This window comes from Homo sapiens, chromosome 3, assembly GCF_000001405.40.
Source record: "Homo sapiens chromosome 3, GRCh38.p14 Primary Assembly".
Taxonomy (NCBI): domain Eukaryota; kingdom Metazoa; phylum Chordata; class Mammalia; order Primates; family Hominidae; genus Homo; species Homo sapiens.
Window position 1 is genome coordinate 172,531,927 of NC_000003.12, and position 12,372 is coordinate 172,544,298.

Sequence of the window (12,372 nt, forward strand, 5' to 3'; positions counted from 1 at the left end):
ACTCTAATAAATAATCTGTGTATTTCGATTGCCCACACATCCTCACCAACACTTGATATTGGCAGTTTAAAAAAAATCACAGCCACTCGCGATCTCGGCTCACTGCAAACTCCGCCTCCCAGGTTCAAGCGATTCTCCTGCCTCAGCCTCCTGAGTAGCTAGGATTGCAGGCACCCACCACCATGCTTGGCTAATTTTTGTATTTTTAGTAGAGACAGGGTTTCACCATGTTGGCCAGGCTGGTCTCAAACTCCTGACCTCAAGTGATTCACCCTCTTTGGCCTGCCGAAGTGCTGAGATGACAGGTGTGAGCCACTGCACCTGGTCATGTTCTGCAAATTTTAAAGACAAATTCTATCAAATTACAGAAGTCATAGTTTCTACTTTATGTAAAATATTCCTGCACATTTTACATAAAGTTGACATGTAAAATGTCAACTTTAAAGTGGAGAAGAGAAGATCTGAAATAATGAAAACTCTTAATTTAGCGAAAAAAATTGGATAGAAGTCAAGATTTTGGACACGAAAGAGGGTGACAATGGAGATATGTATATTTTCCAAATTCACCACTGTCTCTAAAGGAATTGCAAATAAAAGACTGGAAACAACCCAAAACATTGAAATTGTAAGTACTTATTCCCGTGCTGGTTGTAAATTGATAACTTTAACTCTGATATTGTTTGAAATGTGTATGTTTAATCTTTCCATCCACGGTGAAAAGGAACGTCTTCCGAGAGTGGTGGATGAGGGGACAGGAGATGTATTCTGATCTTGAAATCATGTGACAATGTTTCCAAAACATATATTGCTTGAACATATGTCTTCTAAGCAAATGTTATAAAATACTTAATTGGGGACATGAAATTTCCATTAATAAATATAGGAAGCTTCTTTCTGAACAACAGCAACAACAAAAAATCATACCCATTGTAGTGGATGTGAAGTGGTGGCTCATTATGGTTTATTTTATTTCCCTAATGACTAATGATTCTTCGTGATTTGTTTATTCATGTATTTTTGTCGTTGGGCTTTTCAAATTTTTATTGTTGATTTATAAGAGCTTTAAAATATATGTAAGCAGTAAGTCTTCACTTGCGTCATTCATAAGTTCTTGCAAACTGCAACTTTAAGTGAGACAACGTACCGTATAACAAAACTAATTTTACTATAGGCTAATTGACATAAACAAGGCAAATTCCTGTGGTATACAGTATGTTGTTTCACTTAAGTTTACAGTTTACAAGAACCTGTTGACAACATTAATGAAGACTTATTGTATTGTATTGTTAATTTTCTGTGTTGATTGTCTGATATTGTCAGTGGGGTGTTAAAGTCTCCCACTGTTATTATGTGGGAGTCTAAGTCTCTTTGAAGGTATCTAAGTACTTGCTTTATGAATCTGGGTGCTCCTGTGGTGGGTGCATATATATTTAAGATAGTTAGGTGTTCTTGTTGAATTGAACCCTTTACCATTATGTAATGCCCTTCTTTGTCTTTTTTGATCTTTGTTGGTTTCAGTCTCTTTTGTCTGAAACTAGGATTGTAACCCCAGTGTTTTTCTCTTTTCCATTTGCTTGGCTCTGTGCCTGCCAAGGCTCTGACTGCAATGGTGGTCTGGCGCGGTGGGGGGCACAGCAGAGTGCACTCCTGTTGCAACAGTGTCAGGGCAGGGTGCATACACACAGGCGTACAGGTGGGGCAAGGAAGGCAAAACCCACTCATACACGCACAAACTGGCAAAGTGATGTGGGGTTTTGCCATCGACCTGGGGGAAGCTGCAGTCTGGGAAGGGAGTGGGCAGGCTGGTGCATGGCCATGAGGGCCACCCCGCTGGAGCTCTCCACCAATCAGACATGATCCACCAGCTATGATGTGGGCCCCTGGGGTACCCAAGGCTGCCTTGCAAGCAGGTGTAGCCAGGCTGGGGCCCTAGAAGAGGCCAGCAGACCAAGGGGTCCTCGGGTTAAACCCACCCCGTCTGATAGGCAAGACCGTCCTTCAGAATTCAGGTCCAACTGTTCCACTAGGGCTAAAGTCTCCTATGGGAGCAAGTCAAGCCCAGGGAGATGAGCTTCTCTGGCCATCCTCCGCTACAGATGCTCCTGTACCAAATTGTCTTGGATCCATTTCAGCTCGTGTGCTGCCCCTACCACTTCTCTAAGCAGCTCTCCTGCCAACTTGAGTGTCCCTGATGGCCGAGGGGTCTCCTCCTGTCAGGATTCCAGAGGCCTATGGCAAAAGCAGATTGCTTTTTGCCAGTTCAACTCATGCACTCCCCTGAAGTCATTGGGCTTCATAACATGAAGCCTATTTTATAGTAAAATGTTGAATATCTCATGTAACACATATTGCTAGTTTGGGAAAAGATCAAAATTGAAAGTTTGAAATACATCAAAATTGCAATAATTTCACACCATCATAAAGTTGAAAAATCATTAGGTGTAACTAATCATTGTAATCTGGAGACTATACTTGATACTGTGTAACGGGTCATTGATGTCTCATTCTTTCCGCACCCCCAGCCCCATCAATTTTCTTCTCTCTAGTCCAGTATGTGTATCTTTGTTACTGTCTTGCCCTCAATACTACAAAATATTTCTTCTGCATTATTTAATTTTCCATAATTTCCATTTGATGAATGTGTTATTTCGATATTGTTTGTTTCACTTTTAGGGTTTCCATCTGGTTCTTTTTCAGAATTTCACACCTTTCCTGAGGTTCCCCATTCCTTCACTATTTATAACCATTTTTTCCTACTGACTTAAAAAATATGTTTGTAATTGTTTTAAAGTTCTCGTCTACTAATTCCAATATCTATGTCACTAATGGCTCTTTAATTATTAACTTTATTATAAATTTAATATGGGTCTTATTTTCCTGTTTCTTCCCATTCTAGTAATTTTTGGTTATATACCAGACAGCACAAATGATACATTATTTAAACTGTGGATTATGTAATCTTCCTCTGAAGATGATTGAGTTTTTTCCTGGCGGGCGGTTAAATCACAGGTGGATCACCTTGATCCCATGGAAACTTGGTTTTAGGTTTTGCTATAGCAAGTCTATTTTGTTTTCCCTTAGTTCTAGGGAATAGCTATTAGTCCTGGGCTTTGGTACTTACTTTCAAGACCTGGCCCTCCTGGGGTTTTAGTAAAGACCAAGGAATTTACCGAGTCTTCTAACTTGGTAAGATTTGAACTCCAAACTCAGTCTCCCCTTGTACTGAGTAGCTGCTAAAATCCTTGCTCATCTCTTCAGGTTTTCAGAGTTGCTTTCCACTGGTCTCCCTGGAGTCTTGCTATGTGCATGGATAGTTTAGGATTCAGCCAAGCATTTGAGGGAAATTTGTATTCAGGTTTTAGAGCTCACTTCTCTGTGGCTCCCTTCTTTCTGGGATTTTCTCTTCAATTTTAAGCTGCTGCTATAATAATCCCCAAAACTATTCTCAGACTCCTCAGTCCAATAAAACTGCTGTTTTCTTTCTTTTTTCTTTTCTTTTACATTTTATGAATCTTTCTTTCTTGAACTTTTAAGTTCTGGGGTACATGTGCAGGATGTGCAGGTTTGTTACATAGGTAAATAAAACAGCTGTTTTCTGCTTGAACTCTATTCCCCTGCATTTTGCACACTGGAGAGTTCCCTCATGGGAAAGCCAGTTAGATATCATATCTTACCCAGTGTGTTTCCCTTATTTCAAGGCTTGTGTCTCTTCTAGTTTCTGCTTGCTTTTGGTTGCTCATCAGTGCCTTGAAACAGTTGTTTTTAGAAAATATTTTTCCCCAAATTTAGAATTGTTATGAGCAGAGAAGTAGTTCAATACTATCTACTCAGCCATTATCAAAAGTCAGAAGTCCAATCGTACCTTACTCTTTTTTTTTTTTTTTTTTGAGACGGAGTCTCGCTCTGTCGCCCAGGCTGGAGTGCAGTGGCGCAATCTCGGCTCACTGCAAGCTCTGCCTCCGGGTTCACGCCATTCTCCTGCCTCAGCCTCCCGAGTAGCTGAGACTACAGGCGCCCGCCACCACGCCTGGCTAATTTTTTGTATTTTTAGTAGAGACAGGGTTTCATCATGTTAGCCAGGATGGTCTCGATCTCCTGACCTCATGATCCGTCCGCCTCAGCCTCCCAAAGTGCTGGGATTACAGGCGTGAGCCACCATGCCTGGCCCAATCCTACCTTACTCTTAAGACTGAGGAAAAAATTCCTCAGACATCTCCAGAAAATTCTCCTAATGGCCCATGTGCTAGACTTGGGTCACAGGGGTGGATCCCTCACGGCACGGTGCTGTCCTTGCAATAGTGAGTGAGTTCTCCTGAGATCTGGTTGTTTAAACGTGTGTGGCACTCCCCCCACCCTACTCTCTCTCTTGCTCCCACTCTGGCCATGTGATGTGTCTGCTCCCACTTCACCTTCTCCCATGAGTAAAAGCTCCCTGAGGCCTCCTCAGAAGCCAAGCAGATGCCAGCCTGTACCGCCTGCAGAACTGTGAGCCAATTCAACCTCTTTTCTTTATAAATTACCCAATTATAACAATTGGAGAACAGTCCACTATAGTAATGCATGTCAGAAGGAGATCTTACTAGCTGTGTGCTCTTGGCCAGGCCAGTTGACTTCTCTGATCCCAAGTTTCTCTTCCATCTAGTAGGGATTCTAACAGTTCAGGTGGCTTTCTGAGTAGGCCTGAAGATGCAAATGAGGCAGGAGTAAAGTTTCCTTCCCTTTCTCCAGGCCTTCTGCAATCAGCACTTGAGCCCAGAGGGCTGTTAGGTTCAGCCAGGAAATGGTAAAGAAGGACCAGGATGTTTACCTGCTGGGAGGAGGGAGGAAGTTAACAGGTGTAACTTGTTTGGGCAAACACTTCCCTATCATTCTTTCCACACCAGTAGAGTACACAACTATTCTTCTTTCAACCACTTTGCTCCTTGTTCCTTTGTTTTCAAATAACCTATGACAGTATTGCGTTTGCATTTTATTATAAGTTGGACTCCCCCACAGGACTGCCCCCCTAATAGGTAGAGGCCCATCTTATTGTCTTTGATTACCAATGCTAGGAGTTTCTGGCACTTAATAAGCAGTAGGTGTACAGGAGGGAGGTAAGCGTGAGAGGATGCTGACAGGGCTTCCTGGAGGAGGTAGTTTTGGACTACAGGCCCTGACACTGAAGAGCAGGCCTGAAATGTCTGAGTCAGGGAATGGCAATGGTACCAGAGAGGGTGAGGAGTTTCATCCCATTTGGCAGTTCAGCCTACAACAGTTCCTGGAGACCAAAACTGCTCGCCTGGACATGTCAGAGGCAAATCTAGGGGAGGATCTAATGCTAGTAGGGTGTTTTTTATGGTGAGTGATGTACATATCAGTGTGAGAAAGGAAGTCTGGGGCTAGCTGGCTTCTCGATAAGTAAATCGCTGCCCTGAATCGTTTTATGTCTTTCTTATGCTGTCACAAGAAAGGCAGAACATAGTCTTAGAGCCTGTCAGACAGGGAGAAACACTGGTAGGCAGAGAGAGAACTTTTGCTTTTGCATTTATTTCAGTAATTCAGTATCTCAGTATTAAGAGGGTGCTTAGCAAATATTTGTAAAATTTGTAAATTCACAAATGCCTCTTCCAAGTTTCTGTAAGTTTTGCAACCTTTCTTCCTTCCTTGGGAAAGAAGACTCAATTCTGGGTCTCCTATGGGGGCCTCCTGACCCCATACCCTCTTGTCTTCACAGGACATTCATAGCTAGAATTTTAACTAAAAAGGCAACCAAAATGACAAGTTCTGTTTGACTTTCAAACTAACAAAGATACAGAGGTTAAAAGGTAGAATCCGTTGTGGGAGGAGTCCTACACACAGTGAGTATAGGCTCATTTCCAGGCAATTATTGTTTGAAACTCAATTGTTTGAAAGAAGAAATCTAACTTAATCAATCTACAAGCAAGCAGATTAATTTTCCTTCTTCCCTACTAAAGTAAACATCTCTTCCTGTAGTACAAACAGCACCCTTGAAACCACCTTTGCGATATTATGACTGAGACAGTGAAAGAGATTTAACTTAACTGACTCCATCTTGCTTCTAACCTCCAAGCTGTCCTTGTTCATTCCTGGGCATAGGCTGAACTAACTTTGGGAGAAACTTAATTTATAGTTTAAACAAAGGCAGTCACAGCCCTTCCCCAAAGCACTTTCCCAAAAGACCTCCTTCCAGAGCCAGGGGACTGCTCTAGATTGCCTTCGTAGGATGAACATTAGCCACAAGATTAGAAATTATAGTTTAGGAGGCTACAAGATTCTGACTTTCCCTAAATTGCTTCTAAGATCAGTGCTTGAGATATTTTGCAGACTCTGAATTTGATGGACCAGCTGGCCCCACCCAGATCAATAAGCTGGCTCATCTGATCTTGTGGCCCCCACTCAGGAACTGAGTGAGCACAAGAAGACAGCTCCAACTCCCTGTGATTTCATCTCTGACCAGTCAGCACTCCTGGCTCACTGGCTTCCCCACACCCACCAAGTTATCCTTAAAAGCTCTGCTCCCTGAATGCTCAGGGAGACTGATGTGAGAAATAATAAAACTCTGGTCTCCCGCACAGCCAGTTCTGCGTGAATCACTCTTTCTCTATTGCAATTCCCCTGTCTTCATGAATTGGCTCTGTCTAGGCAGGGGGCAAAGTGAACCCTCTGGGTGGTTACACCCTTGGGCTGCAGGATATTTTCCCTATGAAGAAATGTGAGAAAAAAATAATTTTGAAGGATTGTTGTATCTAGACACTTTGTTGGTTGGTGCCTCAAAAGCTTTAGTCACTCCTGTTGAATACAGAGGAAAATAGGGCATCCCTTCCTTCCCAAACACCTACTGCTTACTAAGCCAGGAAATAAGAAGACATGATCTGTTTTCACCTCTATTGTCTAACGAAGGTCACTATGTCTGATGGGAACTAAAGCAAATCATTCTGACAGTTACACTTGGGGAAATTCAGGCTAATATTTTTTGTTTTTCCCTTGACTTATTTGGATTGCTGTTTTTTTTCCTGTGGGTATGGTAGGCATTTTATTGTTTCCCAGAGGTTTCTTCCTCTTTTTGTTTTTTTTTTTTTTCCTTTTCTGCACACTATCTGGATATTTCTTGCCAAGTAGCTCTACTGGAGTCAGTTTCTCTGTCATCAGGTCAGTCTCTGCTACTTGCCTACTAGAATCATTTAGCAAGAGATGATGCAAATAACTTACATGGAAAAATGGGAGGGGAAATGACCAGAAAATAATGACTATGCATTGAAAATTCTTTATTTTCAAAAATGAATTTAACTAACAGATCCTAACAGTTCTCTACTTAGAAGAAATTCAACAACTTTAGCTTTTGTTTCTCAAAGACTTCAGATGTATGAAGTCAGGTTAACAGCACCTAAATCATGTCCAATATCTGCATGACTGGCAGTCAATCTGTGTTTTTTTATAGTAGGGTCTTATAGCTGGTGAAGAAGTTAACACAGTGTTTTACAGCTTAGAAGAGAATGGCCTGTTTGATGCCTTAACTATTAGTCTAGGCTGGTAACCAGGTTCCTCCCTGGGTTAGTGACCTATTGAGCCATCAATTCTTGGAAGGCGTATGGGGTAGTGATAAAATTCACGGGCTTTGGATCAAGAGGGGCTGGATTTGATTCTGGTCTCTGTGATTATTTTCTCTGTGACTTCTTTCTGCTACCGTTTTCTTATCTGTGAAGTGGGAATAATACTAATATTTATGTTATAGAGTTGTATGGGCGAGGCATGGTGGCTCATACCTGTAATCCCAGCACTTTGGGAAGCCGAGGCAGGCAGATCACGAGGTCAGGAGTTCGAGACCAGCCTGGCCAATATGGTGAAACCCTGTCTCTACTAAAAATACAAAAATTAGCTGGGCATGGTGGCGCATGCCTGTAGCCCCCGTTGACTTGGGAGGCTGAGGCAGAAGAATTGCTTGAACCCAGGAGGCAGAGGTTGCAGTGAGCCAAGATTGTGCCACTACTCTCCAGCCTAGGTGACAGAGCCAAACTCCGTCTCAAAAAAAAAAAAAAAGAGTTATATGGAGGTTCAGTAAGACAATGCAAGAAACTGGGTTAACACAATACCTGACACTAACGAGGGCTCAGCACTAGTTAGCTGCTTTTAGTAGTGCCAACTTACCCATTAGGCACAGTAGGCAAAGTGCCTGAGGCCCATGAAACTTTATGAGTTGATAAAAAATGTTTTAATTTTAATTTTTTAAAAAATCAGATAAAAAATGAATAATGAGTGTATAATAAGTAATCCAACCTGGGTTATATTTGTTTTTTTACCAATGCAGTCATAAAATATAATTGTTAACATATTTTATGGAAGAAGGGACTCAGACAAAAGGGCCTGGGGCCCATGAAACTCATAATTGTGGATCTCACTGTTAGCAGTCATGACTGTGGTAGTATTAATCGCAGAATCCTCAACAATAATAGTAGAGTGAAAAAACAAAATGTCAAGATTGTAACTGAGCTATTTACTGATCTAGTTGTAGTTAATCTCTTGATAAAAGAAGTTGGAGTAGGTTTGTGTAATAGTTGAGTATGATGTTTATTACTTTTCAGCCATCCCTTTAATAATAGATGAATGAGTACCTTTAAAAAGAACCATGTTGTTTTTCAATACTACTGGACTATAACGAACATATCATCAATGCAGAAAATACAGTAATTGTAAAATCAAATAGTTTTAGGTTTAGCAGTGAAATAGCTCTAGGTATCGTTAATTTTTTTTTTTCTTTTGGCAGTATCAACATTGTGTTGATACTGAAGAATGCATTTTCTGGAAAGACAGGGATAATCAATTTTCTCCCAGATTCAATGGGAGAAAATCATACTCAATATGAACTGTATATTGAGAAGTTAAACATGCCAAGTTTTTACCATATTTTGTTTTCACTAATACATATGTAAATCTTAATTTATTTTTAAAAGACACAAAATGCCTATATTTTATCCACATTATTCTTAGAATTGATCATGTCCGCTTTAACAAATTTCTATTTTAATAAAAATTGGATTTCATAAAACTACACATTTTATAAAACAAAAATAATTCTTGCTAAACCAGCAATAAAGAAACATATTTGTTTAGAAAGTATATTTCCAACTGAACGAATTAGCTTGTCTCTCCATTGACCAAAGACAGGGTTAGAGGTGTTGTTAAGATCCTTTCTTTTTTTGTTTTTTTTTTTTTTGAGATGGAGTTTTGCTCTTGTCCCCCAGGCTGGAGTGCAATGGCACGATCTCGGCTCACTGCAACCTCTGCCTCCCAGGTTCAAGCAATTCTCCTGCCTCAGCCTCCCGAGTAGCTGGGATTACAGGCACACGCCACCATACCCAGCTTGTTTTTGTATTTTTAGTAGAGACAAGTTTCACCGTGTAGGCCAGGCTGGTCTCGAACTTCTGACCTCAAGTAACCCGCCCGCCTCAGCCTTCCAAAGTGCTGGGATTACATGTGTGAGCCACTGTGCCTGGCCAGGATCCTTTCTAAACTTGTTGAATTTTGGCCAAGTGTGGTGACTCACTCCTCTAATTCCAGCACTTTGCGAGGCAGAGGCGGGCGGATCACCTGAGGTCACGAATTCCAGACCAGCCTGGCCAACATGGTGAAATCCTGTCTCTACTAAAAATACAAAAATTAGCTGGATGTGGTGGTGCACACATGTAATCCCAGCTACTTGGAGGGCTGAAGCAGGAGGATCACTTGAACCGGGGAGGCAGGGGTTGCAGTGAGCTAAGATCACGCCACTACACTTCAGCCTGGGCAACAGAGCGAGACTCTGTCTCAAAAAAATAAAAATAAAAATAAATAAACTTACTGAGTTTAATTTTAGAGCTTGGCTAAATGACAAAGGAAGAGGATAAAGGAAAGGAACAAAGAAAGACCAGGCCATAGCTTTAATCTCTGTGATCAGACAGCAGTGTTGTGGCAGGGTGTTGGAGAGGGGAGGAACTTGGTATTAATAATATTTGTAATCTGCAATTTTCCCCCAAAATGTCTTTGGTTGATTATTTCATTTAAGGTAACATTTTGACTTCAAAATAGTTTACATCAACAGTATTTGTCAGTCTAGATTTAATCAACAGTTTTAAATAATTGGCTGGATTCTCAACCTTGGATCTTTTCCTAGAAAAATGTTTCCTTCCACATAGTGAACCTGATTTTGAAAAAAAGATATGGGAGATTATTTCTCCAGATAAGAGAGTCTTCTGGGAATCAAGTGTTTTTCCATAATATTATGTGAAATAACTAGGTAAGACATCTGAGTAGAATATAAGGAGTGAGAGTTACAGAATATAAGAAGGCAGAGTTCCTTGCTGGGCTAGAACTGTGCTGACAGCTCTCTGGTATAATTTATTAGCTCCTTTTAGTAACAAACAAATTATCACTGGAAGCATACCTGTGTGCTACATATTATAAATAACTAATACTTTTGAATGCTCACTAAGTGCCAGGCACTCTTCTAAGCCTTGTATGAGTATTATAACTTTTTATGTGACAGCAACCCCATGAGGTCACATTACCCTCATTTTTATTGGTGAAAAAAAGTAATGTAATTGTCCTATGACATTAAACTACAAATTGGTGGCCTGAGAGTTTCAAGCAGTGTGACCCCAGAACCCATAATACTCGAGGTGGGTCCATGGTCCAGCAGTCTCTGCTGCACCTGGGAGCCTGTTATAAATGCAGGTTCTCAGGGCCCACAGATCTCCTGGGTCAGCATCTGCATTTTGTTTTATGTATTTATGTATTTATTATTATTATTATTATTATTATTTTGAGACTGAGTCTCGCTCTGTCACCCAGGCTGAAGTGCAGTGGTGCGATCTCAGCTCATTGCAATCTCCGCCTCCTGGGTTCAAGCGATTCTCCTGCCTCAGCCTCCCGAGTAGCCGGGACTACACCTGAGTGCCACCACGCCAGGCTAATTTTTGTATTTTTTAGTACAGACAGGGTTTCACCATGTTGGCCAGGCTGGTCTCGAATTCCTGACCTCAGGTGGTCTGACTGCCTCGGCCTCCCAAAGTGCTGAGATTACAGGCATGAGCCACTGCCTCTGATCAGCATTTGTATTTTAATAAGATTTCAGGGGATTCACCTGCACAGTAAAGGTTGAGAAGCTCTGGTGCACTCTCTCCCTTTCTGACTGCATGAACCTGGGCAAGGCATTTAACTTCTCTAAACCTCAGGTTCTTGTCTCTGTAAAACAGGGATAATAATGCAGACTTAGAGATTTGTTGTGATGATAACATGAAACTACGTTGTGAAGAATGCGGTACTTAGAGACTACTTGATGGCTGCCCAATGTAATGGTGCTTACACATCACCCAGACTTCAAAAATATTCAATGATAGTATCCAGAGAACTTGAAAACATTCCTACCCCAAAGACACTTTCCACTGCTGAACAGTTGAGTGACTTAATGTTTGCAGAGACTCTTTCTTTTTTAACGTTTGAATATTCAGTAGCAACTTCTGGCTCCAAGTTTAATGCCTTTCTACTATATTGAGTTTCTTATTTTGTTCCTTTTAAAATTGCTTTTTTCCCCCATAGTATTTTGTTTATTACTGAAGGAAAAAAAATCAGCAGGAAGTTCAATGTGGCTTCAATAAGGCCAGGTACTTAGCTTTTAACATTCCTACCACACTCCAAAAGTCATTACTACAAATTACCGGTTGAATCTATCCTGAGGAAAAACAAAACTAGAAAAAATAATTTAAACATTCTTCCAAACCACACATTTATGAGTATTACCATATTTCAGATGCTTGAAAGGCATTAATTCTCCATTAAGGGAAAAGCATTTTGCTATTGGCAACATTAAAAACTCAGCTTTAAAATTTGAAAGCTCTACTGTTTTGGATTCACAGTTGAGCAGTATTTTTGTCCTTATAATAACAACTGCAAAGTGCTTTATACTCACCTTCTTTCAAGTAAATCTACAGAAAATCCGATTGTTTCCAACGTTTGTAATGCAAAATTATTTTTGTACTTATAAAATACATCATGCCTATAGAAGATAATATAAAACATATATATGTATAATAAAGTGATAATTATAAAGCCATGAAACTAACACCTAGGTTGTAATTAGAACCTTGGTATATTACAAGACCTTGGTGTAGTACAAGGTCTATTACCTTTGTCCAGTCACTTGGACACTCCCTGTGTGCCCATTGCCCCCAGAGTGAATTGCTATCTTGACTTTTATTGTGATATTTAATTTCTTGCTTTTTAAAAAATAGTTTTACCAACTGAATTCTGTGTAAATAGAATCATATGATAAATATTCTTTTATGACTTGCTTCTTTCACTCAATTTTATTATTCATACAATTCATTCATGTTGATGTAT

General features: G+C 40.5%; 1 annotated feature.

Annotated features, from left to right (window-relative positions):
* Positions 9,373 to 9,667: a silencer, noted in NCBI's record as "tiled region #3413; HepG2 Repressive DNase matched - State 9:DNaseU". NCBI's record gives its function as "represses a minimal TATA promoter and a strong SV40 promoter by Sharpr-MPRA in HepG2 cells {active_cell/tissue: HepG2}" and the evidence as "EXISTENCE:reporter gene assay evidence [ECO:0000049][PMID:27701403]".